At 39.3% G+C, this 17795-nt stretch overlaps 1 protein-coding gene across 3 annotated transcripts in view, besides 3 other annotated features; it reads left to right on the top strand.

Moving 5' to 3' along the window:
- The window catches only part of MS4A4E (membrane spanning 4-domains A4E), a 42868-nt gene extending 37992 nt beyond the window's left edge, over window positions 1-4876 (top strand). The window contains exons 8-9 of one of the 3 annotated variants that reach the window (NM_001393391.1): window positions 188-256; window positions 3267-4876. In NM_001393391.1, the coding sequence (NP_001380320.1) occupies window positions 188-256; window positions 3267-3603 (406 nt within the window). In that variant the 3' untranslated portion in view covers window positions 3604-4876. Of the gene's footprint in view, window positions 1-187; window positions 257-691; window positions 959-3266 lie in introns of those variants that run through there. The other 2 variants (XM_011545416.3, NM_001351235.2) reach the window with 2 other exon arrangements.
- Window positions 3177-4032: an enhancer, noted in NCBI's record as "H3K27ac hESC enhancer chr11:59968587-59969442 (GRCh37/hg19 assembly coordinates)". NCBI's record gives its function as "activates a minimal SCP1, AML or CMV promoter by ChIP-STARR-seq in naive H9 embryonic stem cells {active_cell/tissue: H9 hESC(naive)}" and the evidence as "EXISTENCE:reporter gene assay evidence [ECO:0000049][PMID:30033119]".
- Window positions 9146-9225: an enhancer, noted in NCBI's record as "active region_4764". NCBI's record gives its function as "activates an Ori minimal core promoter by ATAC-STARR-seq in GM12878 lymphoblastoid cells {active_cell/tissue: GM12878}" and the evidence as "EXISTENCE:reporter gene assay evidence [ECO:0000049][PMID:35858748]".
- Window positions 11176-11463: a transcriptional cis regulatory region, noted in NCBI's record as "candidate enhancer chr11.2530 targeted for multiplex CRISPR interference". NCBI's record gives its function as "positively regulates MRPL16 gene expression in K562 cells {active_cell/tissue: K562}" and the evidence as "EXISTENCE:mutant phenotype evidence [ECO:0000015][PMID:30612741]".

The following is a 17795-nucleotide window of genomic DNA, read 5'->3' as shown; positions in this document are numbered from 1 at the left end:
ATTTTCATTATGATAAGATAAAAAGTATTGAATTTGCATGGACATTCATATTTTCCAACTCAGTATATAGGATTTCTCATTCTGCCCTACACTCACGTATCTATTGTATCCACCTTTCTCCATGCACGCTTTTCATGGGAATGTGAGGCCCTCCTTCTTTCAATGCTAACCTGTCTACTTTCTCCAGCTCCGGAGATGGACAGTATCTGGAAAAAGTCTATTATGACATTCTATCTTCTTGGTTGAGGATTGAAAGGTAATCTAGCAAGAACCACCAAATAGAACCTTAATACTGTTGCTTACTATTATGTAGTATATAGAACCTTAATACTATTGCATAGATGTTCTATGTCTCTTATGGGACATCAGTGAGAATACATGTAGCCTACTTTATTACTGGCATACGTGTGTGTCTGTAAAGGAAGTATGTTTAAAAGAAAGTCAAATAAGCAGAAATAGCAATAAATGGAAATGAAATGAATGCTTGATTTCATGGATGAGCATCTGTCTGTCACAGGGTTCATATAGTAGCATGATGGCTGCTGATTGCAGCAAACTTACCTCTTCACAGCTTCAAGCCCAACAGGAAAGAGGAAAGAGAGGGAGATCATTTCTTAGACAGTGAAGTGAAAATGATGAGAGTAATTTGATTGGAAATGTGTCAGTCATTCACACAATTAATTTTTCCTAGGTCACAAAGCTACCACAGAACTTCACTCTAGTTGAGTTGATGTAATTTGCTCACAGACGAGCAGAACTGAGAAGCGCCAAGTGAAGGATCAGACCCTAGCAAAATCCTTTGCATCTCCAAGTCAAAGTTTACCTCAAGTTGGGCCAATCCCTGACGTTTTAAATATATAAAGGCAAGGGAAGATGATTAACTGCTATAACTGGGCAAAATCCTTCAATGGCTTCCTCTCTAACTCATAATAAAAGCCAGAACTCATACTAAATCCTAGAAGTCCTTACATCTCCTGATTCTTTGTTCTGTCTTGGATTTTGTAAAATATCCTAACTTATATCCTGATATATTGCCTTGAGATTATTTTAAGTGGCCTGAGAATGCCTTCTGTTGGTTTAAATTAGCGCATACATAAACTTTTTAAGGTTAACACTTACATAAGCAACCTAAGATTAGTACATTTTTAGTTGTAAAAAGCTAATGCAAATATTTTAGGCAATTCATGCAAAATATTATGATTTCAACTTGTAGAGAAGGCTGCCTCATTTATTTCATATCATGCAATTTTAAATTTATTCTTTATTTGGTTATTCTAGGTTCTATCTATAAGTGATTAGGATGTAAAGCAGTAGGAAAACGTCCATGAAAACTTTGCCTTCTTTTGCTACATTTACAAGAAAAATAGTTATTCTTTTTATTTATTTATCTAATTTTTGAGACAGGGTCTGGCTCTGTCACCCAGGCTGGATTGCAGGGGTATGATCTTGGCTCAATGCAACCTCCACCTCCTTGGCTTAAGCCATCCTCGCACCTCAGCCTCCCAAGTAGCTGGGCTTACAGGCATACACCACCACACCTGGCTTATTTTTGTATTTTTTGTAGAGACAAGGTTTCGCCATGTTGCTCAGGATGGTGTTGAACTCATGAGCTCAGGCGATCCACCCACTTTGGCCTCCCAAAGTGCTGGGAGTACAGGTTTGAGCCACTGCACCTGGCCAAGATAATTATTCTTTACATACATGATTAAATTCCCCACAACTTACTAGCTGTGGGTAGCTTATCATTGTGTTTCTTCAGTTTCCTCATCTATAAAAATTACAATAGTACCTACCTTATAGGCTCTTACAAAGACTACAGGTATTATTAAAACTTGTAATCACAGAATGAAGATTGACACTGGTAGGCGATATGAAAAGAATGGTGAGTGATACTGATAGGTGACATATAAAGAATTATTAAACAATATAAAAGCAAATAACAAAGTAAAAATAAAATAATAAAATAAGCTAAAGATTAACATAAGTCTTAATTTGAGCACATAAGCAGTTATTATACTTTTAAATATTCAGGAAAAGAAACAGATAAGTGTGTCCACAGAATTCTGATTTTTAAATAACTGTACTAAGTATAAGAGTAATGTCCATATGGGACACAAAGAAGCTGCACTACCCTGAAAATCGGTAATTTTCATTAACTTCAGTGAAGTTTTAGAAGTGGGAATTTATAATATTACTGTTTCAAATTTAATACCAGAATAATCTAAGATTCTCTAAAAATGGAGTCATCTTCCCTCAAACCTATTTTCCAGTCATTGTGAGTTAGGTAAAATGAGATTCCAACTGTAGTACAGTTTTCCACTGTCAATAGTAATACGCAATTGGGATAAAGTAGTGGATCTTTTTCTCTAAGAGAGGAGTATTTAACTTCTACAGATGTCATATTGAGAATGACATGGCAGAACAGGCACCTGGAGTCAGGTGGAAAGGATGATCCTCCTACAAGTAATCAGCTGGGCATGCATATGATATAAATCAATTTTGTGTTTAGGAAAAACTCAGTGTGGGTCACTTAGTGGCTTTGATGTATATTTGGAAACTAGGACTGTTTTCGGTTTGGGTAATAGCTCTCAGTTGGCTATCTGAGAGGATTTTTAGGACAGAAGAAACATAGTAGGGAACAAGAAAAAGACTATAATCTAAGCCAATGTAGTGTAACACAGGTGCATGCATTCAGATAATTTTAGAATGCTACTGACCAGATTGAATGGCAAGCTCCCATACATTCTATATACAAAAACATCAGAAAGTTATTTAAAAATGTGTACTCTGTCATTAATCTTCATTGTAAACACATTCATAGCACCAAAGGATAGGTTTGTTGTGGAAATATAGCAACAATTTGCCAACAGCACACACCATAAATCTTCTTCAAATCTTCAAGAGATAGGTCCTCACCTACACCAATTCCTTTCCTTTAGATCATCTCAACTTGTATTAATAAGACGTAGAGGCAATTTGATTCTCTGTCTGCTTAGTGATTGCAAGTGGCTGCTCTGCTGGGTTGAAGTTAGGCCAAGAATTGCCTTTGTATTGGCTGGTATGTACATGTCTGAGAGCAAGGGCTCTGGCAATTAGTGACAGTGGTTAACCATCAATTTGCTCTGTGAATAATAAGGATAAAAACAAGTCATAAGGTCTTGAGTATATAAGGTGATATTACTGATAACTTCTAACTATAAGTAGTCCAACCTATTCAGGTAGAGTCAGTATACTTGGGACTAAAAATGATTTATTTTTTAAAAAAGTATTTATCGAGTGCTCAATGGTGCCCAGGCTGGAGTGCAGTGGCGTGATCTCGGCTCCCTACAACCTCCACCTCCCAGCCGCCTGCCTTGGCCTCCCAAAGTGCCGAGAGTGCAGCCTCTGCCCGGCCGCCACCCCGTCTGGGAAGTGAGGAGCGTCTCTGCCTGGCCGCCTATCGTCTGGGACGTGAGGAGCCCCTCTGCCTGGCTGCCCAGTCTGGAAAGTGAGGAGCGTCTCTGCCCGGCTGCCATCCCATCTAGGAAGTGGGGAGCGCCTCTTCCCGGCCACCATCCCATCTGGGAGGTGAGGAGTGTCTCCGCCCGGCCGCCCATCTTCTGAGATGTGGGGAGCGCCTTTGCCCCACCGCCCTGTCTGGGATGTGAGGAGCACCTCTGCCCGGCCGCGACCCCGTCTGGGAGGTGAGGAGCGTCTCTGCCCAGCCGCCCCATCTGAGAAGGGAGGAGACCCTCCGCCTGGCAACCGCCCCGTCTGAGAAGTGAGGAGCCCCTCCGCCCGGCAGCCACCCCGTCTGGGAAGTGAGGAGCGTCTCCGCCAGGCAGCCACCCCGTCCGGGAGGGAGGTGGGGGTCAGCCCCCGCCAGGCCAGCTGCCCCATCCGGGAGGGAGGTGGGGGGGGTCAGCCCCCCGCCCGGCCAGCCGCCCCGTCCGGGAGGTGAGGGGCGCCTCTGCCCAGCCGCCCCTACTGGGAAGTGAGGAGCCCCTCTACCCGGCCAGCCGCTCCGTCCGGGAGGGAGGTGGGGGGGTCAGACCCCGCCCGGCCAGCCGCCCCGTCCGGGAGGGAGGTGGGGGGTTCAGCCCCCCACCCGGCCAGCCACCACGTCTGGGAGGGAGGTGGGGGGGTCAGCCCTCTGCCCGGCCAGCCGCCCCGTCCGGGAGGGAGGTGGGGGGTTCAGCCCCCCACCCGGCCAGCCGCCCCGTCCGGGAGGGAGGTGGAGGGGTCAGCCCCCCGCCCGGCCAGCCGCCCCGTCCGGGAGGTGAGGGGTGCCTCTGCCCAGCCGCCCCTACTGGGAAGTGAGGAGCCCCTCTGCCCGGCCACCACCCCATCTGGGAAGTGTACCCAATAGCTCATTGAGAACGGGCCATGAGGACAATGGCGGTTTTGTGGAATAGAAAGGGGGGAAAGGTGGGGAAAAGATTGAGAAATCGGATGGTTGCCTTGTCTGTGTGGAAAGAAGTAGACATGGGAGACTTTTCATTTTGTTCTGTACTAAGAAAAATTCTTCTGCCTTGGGATCCTGTTGATCTGTGACCTTACCCCCAACCCTGTGCTCTCTGAAACATGTGCTGTGTCCACTCAGGGTTAAATGGATTAAGGGCGGTGCAAGGTGTGCTTTGTTAAACAGATGCTTGAAGGCAGCATGCTCGTTAAGAGTCATCACCACTCCCTAATCTCAAGTACCCAGGGACACAAACACCTCGGAAGGCCGCAGGGTCCTCTGCCTAGGAAAACCAGAGACCTTTGTTCACTTGTTTATCTGCTGACCTTCCCTCCACTATTGTCCTATGACCCTGCCAAATCCCCCTCTGTGAGAAACACCCAAGAATGGTCAATAAAAAATTAAATAAATAAATAAATAAATAAATAAAAAGTATTTATCCAGTATTTTTTTTCCTTAGACTTACTGAAGCAAAATGAAGACTTCCCACTAAGCTAAATTTGTGTATCATATATTTCTGTCCCCTTTATCCTCTAAAATCTAATTTCTCTTCACTCATCCTATATATCAAATAGTATAAGAAACGTAATGATACTAAAAGATTAAAGAATATTCAGACGTGATTTTTTCAGTCAATGATAAAGAAATGGGTAATCAATAATGAGCAATTTGTAAGTGTACTATAATAGAATTGCTGCAAAAACTGCTGTCTATTGAGAAAACATGCATCCAACTATTAAAGGTAATTTATATTTATAAAATCAAATTAAATCCACTTGTAAATGTAAGAGAAGCCTCAAAGGGCTTCAATCATTGTTACAACAGTTATAAGAGGTATTTCTATATTTGAGGTTGTAAAATAATAATACTGAATACTATATGCAAAGTCAGGAGCAAATCAACAGTTCTAACAGTCTAACAGTGATGTGTCATTCTTACATTACACAGTAAATTGGATCATAGAGCATGAAACAGATTCAGGAAGAATCATCTCGGGTGTTCACAATGACCATTAAAAATCTGTAGTTGAACTTAGTTTAAATTAACTGTTTTCAAAATTTGCCATTTTCCACAACTCTTATTTTTCTTGATTCTGAGTCCTGATCCTGTAAACTTGCAATACTCTGTGGAAAGGATTTCAAGAGAGATATACTTTTATCTTTAATAAGAACATGAATTAAACCAGAAAAAAAGGAAATGAGTTGAAGGCCACTGCTGTGGCTACTGAAATAATTGATGCATTTTATCTTAATACTTGACTGGAAATTTCCTGTTTCTTTGGTTTGTATCTTGTTATTAATTTTTATCATTAAAATGTATAATAGCTTTATAGTAGCACATATCTATGTTATTTTTCTTCATTATTAAAATTGATTTGGCCATTCTAAGTCTTTATTTCATGTAAATTTTAGAATTAGCATGTCAACATATCCAATCCTAAAAGACCTTCCTGAATTTTGATTAGGAGGGTATTGAATTTATAGGTCTATAAGGGAAGAATTGCTAGCTTAACAATATTAAGTATTCTAATCCATTAACAGAACATACTTTTTAATTGATTTAGGCCTTCATTAATATGTCTCAGCAAGGTTTTTTCATTTTCTGTTAACATGAGGAACGTCCTTTGACATTCATTGTATTGATTTTTCTGGTACTAAATTTTCTCAGATCTTTTTGTCTGTTGTCTGAATACATCTTTATTTTACCTTAAGTTTTGATTAATATTTTCAAAGGATGTGGATCCCATGTTGACAGCTTTTGCCTTCAAGTACTCTAATAATGTCTTATGACTGTCTTCTGGCTTACATAATGTCTTATGAGAAGTCTGCAAGTATCCTTATCTTTGTGATAATGAGTCCTTTTCCCCCTCTGCTGTTAAAACATTCTCTTTCTTACTCATTTTTAGCAACCTAATTAAGTTATGCTTTGGTGTAGTTTGATTTTTCTTCATCCAGCTTGTGGCTAGTTAGGCTGTTTGGATCTGTGGGTTTATACTTTTATCAAATTTGGAAATTCCAATGATTTATACAAATATGTTTTAAATTCATGCTCTCTTCTTGGACTCAGATTACATGTTAGACTACTTCATACTGTCCCACTGATGCTTTATTAATGTTTCCAGACTTTTTTCCTACTCTTTGCTTCAGATTATAGAGATTCTATTTCCACCTTCCAGTTCACTAACATTTTCTTCTGGAAAACTTAATGTGTTGTTACTCATAGGCAGTGATTTATTCATTTCATATACTGTAGCTTTTATCTCTAGAAGTTCTATTTGATTTTTTATATTTTTATACTCTTTGTGTCCAAGTATTTCTTGAAATTCTTATGCACATTTATAATGAATATTCTAAAGCACTTCTCTTTTATTGTAATCTCTATAATTTACAGGTCTTTTTTATTAATTTTTCTCCTGGCTATTTGTTATTGTGATTTTTCTGTTTCTTGCCATGTATAGTAATTTGGGATTAGATGCTGGATATTATGATTTTTATTTGATTGAGTACCCAAATTTTTCTTTTTTCACAAGATATTCCATTTTATTTCTTGCAGGAAATTAAACTTAAAGACCAATTTGATTCTTTTGAGACTTTTACAAAGGCATGATCGGGAGGGTGTATTAGTCCCTTTTCACATTGCTATAAAGAACTACCTGACACTGGGTAGTTTATAAAGAAAAGAGGTTTAATTGACTCACAGTTTCACAGGATCTACAAGAGGCATGGCTGGGGAGGCCTCAGGAAACTTACAATCATGGCAGAAGGTGAAGGGGAAGCCAGCATGTCTTATGCAGTGGAAGCAGGAGGAGGAGAGAGTGAAGGGGGAAGTGCTACACACTTTCAAACAACCAGATCTCATGAGAACTCACTATTATGTGAACAGCAAAAGGAGAGTCCACTCCCATGATCCGATCACCTCCCACCAGGTCCCTCCCCCATCATTAGGGATTACAATTCAACATGAGACTTGAGTGGGGACACAGAGCCAAACAGTATGAGAAGGTTTATCATTGTTATTAATTGGGGGTATGCTTTACTAATAATTTGTTTATTATTAACAGATTAATTATTAAAGCATTAATAATAATTGACTTATTATTAATAACCTTTCTGGAGGTCTCTATTCTATCCCCCAAGTATTCATGGAAGTCTCTGCATTCCAGCTGATTGGAACTTGAATGTCTCCCAGCATTGTGTGAGCCCTGGTAATCATACAGCTTACAACTACCTGGCTAGTCCTTGACTGTACTTTTAAAATTTCAACCTATAAAGGTACAGCTTTGTATTGGACAACAAATTTAGGATACTTGCAGATTTCTGGAACTCTGTCTCTGGAGAGCTATCCCCTTTATTGTTCTCTTCTCATTAATTCCAGCTGTTTCAGTGCCCTCAAATTCTGGTTTTTGTCTTATGAATTCAGCAATATCAGAATAAATCTCTCTCCCTACCATGGTATGGAAAGTTTCTTCATGCAGAAAACCAGAGCAATTATTATATTCACTTTGTTTTTTCACTTGTCAATGTTGAAATTCCTGCACTAACTTTGTCCAATGTCCGGAAAGAGTTGTGCTTATTTTTTTCCAGTTTTCTTTATGATTTAAAAAATTTTATTGAGACAAGATCATCCAGGTTCAAGTGCAGTGGTACAGTCATAGGTCACTGCAGCCTTGAAATCCTGGGCTCAAAGGATCCTCCCACTTCAGCCTCCCAAAGTGCTGGGATTAGAAGCATGAGCCACTGGGCCCAACCCAGTTTTTTAACTGTACAGAGTGGAAGATTAAGTCTGGTTCTATCATAATTGGAAGAGCTGAGCTTCAACTTTAAAAAGATGCTCATGAATGTAAATATTAGCATTTTTATTTTTCTTTATATTTAAAATTTACTTAAGCTTGTCAACATATGTAACTTAATTAAATCAATACTTCTAATTTAAAATATCCAAGCAGAAAATTTAAGTATTATCATTTTTATATGCTGTTATTTTTAGTCACCTTATTTAAGTTTCATGAAGTAGCTATTAAAAGACCCTAGCACATTCCAGTTATTTTATATTTAAGTTAATTTGTGATATTTTCCAATGTTTTATATAGTAATATCCAGACAGTTTTAATATATGCTCAAATGTCTTTTCTTCACACAACAAAAAATACAAGAAATATAATAAGACAAAGTTGTACACATTCCAGGGAAAATATTTAAATCTTTTAATTAATTAAAATATGTCCCTTGGTTTAAATTTTGAGTTTACTGTATGAAAAACACAGGAAAGATGTATAAAGCAACATCCTTTTGATTGCCTGGTGGATAGAAAAACAAAAAACAACTAAATTTGAGATACAGTTTGAACAAAGCTGACAATGCTTTTGCCTTCCTCTTTGAATCTCTTCAAGATCAGCAATTTATTTTTTTACTGACTCAGGTTTCTTGGGATTGCTGCTGCTCATGTGATTCCCAGGAACTTAACTACTTGTGAATAACTCTGTCAGGCTGATAATACTAGATTAAGAAAACAATTCATCTTCAATAAGTACACTCTTTCTAGCAGAAGAAGCAGTTCAGAAAGTTCCTTGTGGTTTCCCTTCTGAATCTTTTCATCGTCAATTTCAGCAAAGCGTGGTATTTTCCCCCAGTAAAAGGTCAAGATAGCTTGTTTTAATCCTTCTCAGACTCTAGGTACAGTTTCACCAGACACAGTGGGTAACTTGCTCTCATCTCTTAAATGGATGCTTTCAGCTTGGCCAGGAGGGGCTGGACATCAAGAGGAGGAAAGTCGCCGTCTGGATGGGGCTCAGGAATCACATAGTGCTGTATTAGCTAGCTGTCATCTATGTTGATTCTTTTTCCCTTATGCCAGCAGCAAAGTGCTTCAACCCTTGCTGATTACTTCCAGTAATTTATTTTTTATCTTAATTTTTTTCTACTTAGTATTCCCTCATATTTGGAAAAAGATGAAAATATTTCCACCTTACCTCCAGCTCTGAAGCCACAGACACTGTGCCCCTAACAGGGTCACCAAATTGTCTAAATAACATACATGCATATATATATATATATATATATATATATATATATATACACACACACACACACACACACACACACACACACACACACACAGGCACACATGGAATATATATATGCATTTTTAAGTTACTTGAAAATATATTTAAATACATAAATAATTTGTGTATTACACACAAATATGTTATTTGAAAATACATTTAATTATATAAATAATTGTATATTTAAATACATTTAAATATATAAATAATTGTATATATAAATATTTGTATATTACATATAAAGGTATGTTTTTAAAAACATAATATATGCAAAGGGAGAGATAAGTGAAGGAGATAGAGGAATATACTAATGGAGAAAGGAAAAGGAGATGCTGCTTACTAGCTTCTAGCTTTTGTTTTCCAGCAATCCAAAGAATAATATCTCACTAGAGATTTTATATGTGCTTCAGAAAGATGTATAGAAAGAGAAGAGTTCCTAGTGTATGGGGTACGAGAGGTATCATGGAATGGAAGGGATAACATGATAATTAAGAGAAGCACAGATGTCCTTAGGGAATAGAAGATTTTCTGGTCCTGAAGGAGAGGAGTTGGAAAGTGGGTAACGAAAACTGAGATGCAGATGGGACCTGGGAAACAGGGCTAGCTAGGAAACAAAAGCACAAATAATTGTTTTGGGTCCAAAGAGTTAAGGCCTCCTTATTCTCTAAGGAGAGATCCTTGGAACTAGAAAGGCCAGAGAGACAGACTTGCTCATGGACCTGCAGGAATAAGAGATATTTTATGGATAATGTGCACAGGGAGTTGTACGTATACTTAGAGGAACTCCAAAATTTCTCTCCAACCCCTTGTTGTCAAACATAAGCATCTGTTTTTGAGCTCTGACACAGAAACTTGGGATAACTAGATGACCTCTCAGCACAATAGGCTCTAGCAATAGGAAATTGACTTGAGTGTCATCAGCAAGACGGTGGAATAGGAAGCCTCAGGCCCTCATTTCCCCATGGAGAGACTGACTTGACAACAATGTATGAACTACAATGCCTTTGTGAGAACTCTAGAAACTAGTTAAGAGGTTGCAGCACCTTAGGTGAATGCAAAGCCAGGAAAAGATGCATCAAAATGAGGAGAAATTGTTGTCGCATTTTACTCATTCCAGCCACTCTTTCACCCTGGCACAATGCGACTTGATCTACAGAAAACATTAAAGTTCCAGTGGAACAGGAATTAAAAGAAATTAAAAACTGTGTAAGCAAAAACTCAGTTTTATGTAAAAAAAAACCCCCAATTTCCCTTAAGGAAGAGAAAGGGCTGGAGTCCTTTAAAATTAACTGCCTATTTTTCTTTCTGAGGCTAGTGAGCCTTATCTCTGTCTTTCCCAGGCATGGTGAAGCATTGTTTTTCTAGCTGTGCAGCTGCAAGATCACTAGACAGATAATCTCAAGTCATAAAACATGTTGTTTCTTGAAAAGGAAGAAATGATGTAATGCATGTCTTAATTAAATAACTGTCTTTGTTTCTCACTTCTGTAATATGCTTCCTCCTGCACAGATCTCCCCCCACCCCACAAAATGCTTAAAAGGTAACCACATTCTTTGTTCAGGGCTCATTCCTTTGGATGTTAATCTGACTGGCTTGGTGCACCTAAAAAATTAAATAATTCCTCCCCAACCTCTCTGTCTCTCTGATTACTTAATTATCCCACTGCACCAGATTCTCCTTTAAAGAGGCAAGAGGACTAGACCATGAGTCCAGCATTCTGGGTTTTGTGGGGGTTACCCAAGGTACTGGTTTCTGTCTTGCCTGACTCAGAGTGCAGAGTTGAATAGCATGTTGTGAGCCTCGGAGAACAAAGGCAGGCACACTATTTCACCACTAGGGAGATTGTAGTACTGCAGGCAGACACCAGGGGGAGAAAGAAGAAGAAGCAGGCAAAACTCTTTTACTAGGAAATTACACATACATGTCCCAAAGAAGTTTGAAGGGCCCCCAGAATCTCTAGCTATGCTAACCCGTAAAGGTCTTCCACTACATAAAGTCAGTTTGTAATGACTGGAAAAGGTTGGTGTTGTTTTCAAATGCACAAATCTCAATAAAAGATCACAAGGCATACAGAGAAGCAAGAAAACATGGCCCAACTAAAGGAATACAATAAATCTCCAAAAACTAACTTTAAAGAAATAAGTATCTATGAGTTACATGATCTTGTAAAGATATTTGTACACATATTTATTGCAGCATTATTAATAATAGCCAAGAGGTGGAAGCAACCCAAATGTACATTAATGGATGAATAAAGAAAATGTGGTATATACATACAATGAAACATTAATCAACCTTACAGAAGAAGGAAATCCTATCATATGCTACAACAAGAATGAGACTTGGAGATCTCATGCTAAGTAAAAGAAGCCATCACAAAAAAAAAAAAGAAGCCATCAGAAAAAGACAAATACTCTGTGATTCCTCTCATATGAGGTATCCAAAGTAGACACATAGCAGGACAAGCTGTAGACAGAACCCCTCAGACACCAAGTTAAAGAAGGAAGGGCTTTATTTGGCCGGGAGCTTCAGCAAGACTCACGTCTCCAAAAACCAAGTTCCCAGAGTGAGCAATTCCTGTCCCTTTTAAGGGCTTACAACTTTAAGTGGGTCCATGTGAGAGGGTCGTGATCAATTGAGCAAGCAGGGGTTATGTGACTGGGGGCTGCATGCACCAGTAATCAGAATGGAACAGGACAGGGATATTCACAGTGCTTTTCCATACAATGTCTGGGATCCATAGATAACATAACCAGTTAGCTCAGGGGTCGATCTTTAACCAGGCCCAGGGTGTGGTGCTGGGCTGTCTGCCTGTGGATTTCATTTCCGCCTTTTAGTTTTTACTTCTTCTTTCTTTGGAGGCAGAAATGGGCATAAGACAATATGAGGGGTGGTCTCCTCCTTTAGTCCCCCGCTTTGAGAATCTCACTCATTAGTGGGAGTTCTCACTTTCATTTTCACTACCCATGTCTTCTTGCAAGACAGATCAATAGTGATTCATATAGTACATTTGTGCTGAAGCATTTTGGTGAACTAAGGTAGCGATGAAGCTTTTTATCATTTGAAGAAGTACAGGTAGCAAACAAGAGAGCAGTAAGCAGGTTTCTATTACTATTATTACTCCTATTATAAGAGTTTTAAATCCTCCTAGCACTGGGAACCATTTTCCAAACATGGCCCCAGGATCATATCCATGCCACACTTGCACGGGCACATGTGCCAGTTTTGTCATATTTCTAACTATGTCTTCAACTACTTGCCCTTGGTCATCTATGTGTAGATAGCAATTAGTAAGGTTAAATGTCCTACAGACCCCTCCTTCAGCTGCCAGCAAGTAGTTGGGAGCCAATCTATTTTGATAGATAGCATTTCTCATCTGAGTTTCTTGCTGGGCCAGAATAGTCAAGGCTCTGCTGGTCTTATTAGTGATTATTTCTAAGACAGCTTGTAACCATATGCTTTGGTTGAGCATGTAAATGGGGGTCCAGTATCCCCATGAGCTGTCTTTTGCCCAAGTAGCAGGCCAATAATATTGTATGATTCTTTCAGGGGACCATTTATTATCTTTCCAATTTCTTATGGCTATGTTTCTCTTTTCATGGGAAGCATAGACAGGGAAGCCCAGGAGTTCACCTGTCTTTATGGGCAGTAGGAAGAAAGATGATTTAATAGTGCCAATAACACAACTACTTTCCCACTGGTCAGGTAATTTGGCATAAGTTCTATGCCCACATATCCAGTATAATCCAGTGGGGGCTGTCCAGTCCTGGTGGTACTCTGGGTGGGTTCACATGGTTTACAACTTTGGGAATTTACTAAATGGATTTTTCTTAGTGTGGTTTGAACGCCACGGTGGCTGTTTTTGTAGTACTATTATACAGTTTTTGCCCAAGGCAGCTGGGTCTTCCCACAGGAAGGGTGAAGTCCTTCCCCACTCTTGCTATACAGTATTGTCTAATGATTGAGGCTTTCAAGACCCAGAAGTTATCAGGGTGATTCTCTTGAGCCAGGAATTTATCAGGAACTGGGTCTGTAGGTACTAATTCTCAGGCTTCCCATGGCCATTGATCTCCCAGTATAGTTCCTCCGCATAAATAACATGAAGTGACATTGAGAGACTGGGCTACATGCTTGGCTAATTGCAAAAACAAATTTCTTGTTTTTCCTGGAATTTCTGGCACTGGCACATTCAGTTCATCATAGAAGTTTGAAATACTGGCTCAGGAGAGGGTTTATAAACTTCTTCTCAAACTATGATATTTACTCAAGGATCCAGTCCAGCCCCATCGATTTCTAGGGTTACATGCTCCCCTTTTTTCCAGGGAGGATCAAGGGGGTTGGTTATTACCAGTTCTAAGGGGTTACACGGACCCCTGGTATAGGAAGGGCCACTTTTCCTTTTCTGAAGGTGGACAGGATTTTTTTTTTCATTTTTTATCCAAGTAGCCTAAATGACACAAGACCAGTATCCACATTCATTTTCACACAGTCCTAATTCATGACAAATGTACTTATTTTTTGTCATATAGCCTCTTTTTTAATTAAGAGAACCATATCCTATTTCTAACTTATTACTATTAATGACAGCACAGGCATCAAATTTCAAGGTGACTTTTTTGGGCACCCCTTTTTCTTCTGTTTTGGCTAACACTTTAATCATGTCATTTATGAGCCCCCACGAGTCCTCAGTCCTTAATCTTATTTCAAAAACTGTGGTCATGGGAAGCTCAGATGGGTCATAACACACATAACACAGGTCATTTCCTGGGTTACATACCTTGTATAGAATAACATTATACAAACAAGTTATTTTCAGAGTTCCAGTACACTTATAATAACCATAAAATAATAGGACCATAGCAACTTTTTGTCCTACCTCAGTGACTTGGTGTATACACTGGGAACAGTCCTCAGTCTGAGGAAGGTCAGTTGAAGTCCTTACTGTACAAGTTCAAATTTTAAGGAAAATGAGTCCCATGATGAGTTTTCTTATGCTTTGGCCATGTGTGGACCAGTCAGCTTCTGGATGTGACTGGAGCAGGGCTTGTTGTCCTCTTCAGAGTCACTTTGCAGGGGTTGGTGAAACTGCTACTGTCCACATACAGCTCACAGTCTACTGATGTTCAAGGATGGTCTTGGAGGTTGGGCCTGCTAGAATAAACTAGTCCAATACCTCTACATATTTATGTTCAGCTGAGCTCTCTGATACCGGGAACAAGGTGGCAGGGTTTAGGGTGTTGCAAACTTCAATGGTTATGGGGGATTTTCACATAGCAAGCTTTGATACTTGGTTAATCTAGCATTTGTTAGCCAATGATGTCCTTTGGTATTCATCAAAGTTACCACAGCATGGAAGGCCTTTATATTCAGGTTTTGCCTAAGCGTTAGTTTATCTGCTTCTTGTGCTAACAGGGCTGTCACTGCCAGGGCCCTTAGACATGGGGGCCAGCCTTTGGAAACTTTGTCTAGTTGTTTTGAGAGATAGGCCACTGTCCTTGGCCAGGGCCCGACAGTCTGGGCTAAAACTCCAACTGCCATTTTTTCTCTTTCTGACACATAGAGTGTAAAGGGTTTTGTCAGGTCAGGTAGCCCCAGGGCTGAGGCCAACATGAGTTTTTCTTTTAACTCATGAAAAGTTCATTGCTGTTGGTTGTAATAGATGTAGTTCATCTAATCTACATATTTATTTACAGTTATCTACTAAAATGTTGACTTTAATCTTGCAGCTATTTGATTTCAAGCTTTAAAGTGATCTGGTATTCCCCATGGGAATCCAATTGCATCTAAATAGACGTGAGAGTCAAAAGACCCATAAGGGGCTTCTCTCGCTTTACAATGTCTTATTTTTCCTCCCTCTGGCTGATGAAATGCCAGGGTGAAAGGGATAGCCAATTGGACTGAAGTACAAGTGCCACTCCAGTTATTCAGCAGAGTGCCCAGTAAAGGTCCACCACAATACCACCACACATCTGCTCTGGGATGAATAAGGGCTGACTGATTGATAAGCTCTTGAAAATTCTTAAGTTCACTACATCCCTTCAGGTTTCCAAGGAACGCTAAGTTTCCTTCCTATTGTGAGAGACACGAAATGAACTTAGTGTTGGGAGATGGCAGCTGGATGGCCCTCGGGGGCTGAACTTCAGGGTGCCAGACTTTGGGATATAGCAGAGAGAGCTTGGCATGACTTATTACTCCAGGCTGTAGAATCCTGGAAAAGAGATACCATGCAGCCCACGGTCCACTGGAGGACCACCTTAGTGGAAAGGGGACTGTCTGGGCCTCTGGCCTGCCACGTGCACAAGCATAACAATTGCTTTTGTTTAACGTGCAAATGGAATATTTGATCCATTTTAACCAGGCATTTGCATCTTGGTATCTTGTCTTAACTGCCAAAGTTTGTTTTAAGTCTTTAACTTCTATGATCCTCTAGTAAAATGAATGTATGATTTTAGGAAATTACAAAAACCAGTTGGGTCAGTCCATCCTTGCTCTTTAGTGGTCAACAGAACGTTGGACCAACTATGGCATAAAAGTTCTACATTGGGGGGCAAGACTCCTGGTTGACACTGGAGTCTTTACCAAAGTTTCCCCCAATCAAATAGTCCTAATTTACTAATGCCCAGTCTGAGGAGAGTCAGGAGGGACAGAGGTACTTTTCTGAAGTAGAGAGCTGTCTTTGACTTGGCAAGTCCCCACAGGGTATAATAAGGCAAGCATTAAATGCAATAGTTTGAGGCAAAATTGACTTGGTTATGTTAATAACTAGATGGTCAGCAATAGAGTGAGGAAAGAAGAAAGAGTAATAGAATAGATAAAAGAGTTAAATTTTTCTCAGCTTTAGTTTGGTAGGGTTTTCCCCTGGGACTATGGCCCACGACTCTGGAGCGGGTGGAGCTTTCTTGACTGGTGTGATGAGTCCATCCTTTTTCCACTGTATGAACAGCAGTCTTGGTGGTTAGCAGCACAGGGTAGGGTCCTTCCTAGGCTGGCTCGAATTTCCTCTTTTTTTTTCACTTTTTGATGAGAATGTGATCTTCAGACTGGTGCTGGCTTACCAGAAATTGTAGGGGTGGCACATGTGTTAAAAGACTTTTAGTTTTGAGGGAAAGGAAAGTGGGAGATAAACCAAGTATATAATTTTTAAGAAATTGACCTTTTGTTTTAAATGTGGGGATGTCAGCAGTGGACTTTATAGTCCTTGGTGCCTTTCTACTGAGAAATTTCCTTTAGCACCTATTTTTTATTAGTTTTTAGACCAAAGAAGCCAAACAGCTTTTTATATTTGACGCTTCCTGTATGATTTTTATACCAGATAAGCTAAATGTCACCCTTATATTAGTGTGTTATTAATGTTAAACTTAGTTTTAATAAAACTTAGTAGGCATATTTATTTAATTTTTAATGTTAGATCATAAGGTAAGATTTTTATAGACTCTTTTTAACCTTTTATAATCTTTGTTAAAGAGCAGGTTAATGCTTTAAGAGAAACCCATTGTGTTTTTATTTTAATGTTCAGTTCACAGAAAAACTGGATGATACCCCTTTAACTTTAGCCAATATGTTTACACACAGAATTTCCTTTACAATTGACGTTTTAAAACTTGCTTAAACCTTCAAAACAATTTTTAAAAATCTTTTAATGTAGGTAAAAATCCACATTCTTATGCCTCCTTATAATGCTTTTACCAGAGGTGTATTTTACTTTTCTTATACACCTTGCACATAAACTGTTTTCTCAGTAGTTTTACATTCAGGAGGCCTAGTTACTTTTAAATTATACAACATTTCTTGCATCAATTCTTTTTTTATAACTCTTTTTCTTTCATGACTTTTGTAGACAATTCTTCAACATGCCTCAACTTTCTGACTTATTACAAACATTTCTTTCTTTAAACAACCAGTTAATTTATTTCAGGACAAGAATTTACTATATAAGATTCTTTTTACATAAATTCTGCCCCCGCTTTTTTCCCCCTTTTTTTGGGGGGATAACCATTCTTTTCCAAAGCAAACTTCCTTTATGTCTGTGGATTAGACTGTCTAAGGCTACAAGATTAGAAGTTACTATTATACATGTTATACTGTTAACTTTTAGCAAATTTTACTTTTGTTGAAAACCTTGTACGTTTGGGATTTCAATTATCCTTTGCTATTAGTAAGACTTTGTTTAGTCCAAATTAACTTAGAATTGGTATAGACGGCTTTTTCTTTTCCTTCCATTACCTGGGAGGAACCGTCTATCATCCAGTCCTGAAGGGAGTTCCTCCTAGGTCTGGTCAGACCTTTGTATGG

The sequence above is a fragment of the Homo sapiens genome, chromosome 11, assembly GCF_000001405.40.
Source record: "Homo sapiens chromosome 11, GRCh38.p14 Primary Assembly".
Taxonomy (NCBI): Eukaryota; Metazoa; Chordata; class Mammalia; order Primates; family Hominidae; genus Homo; species Homo sapiens.
Note: the sequence above shows the minus strand (reverse complement) of the source record. Positions and strands in the feature narration are given on the sequence as shown.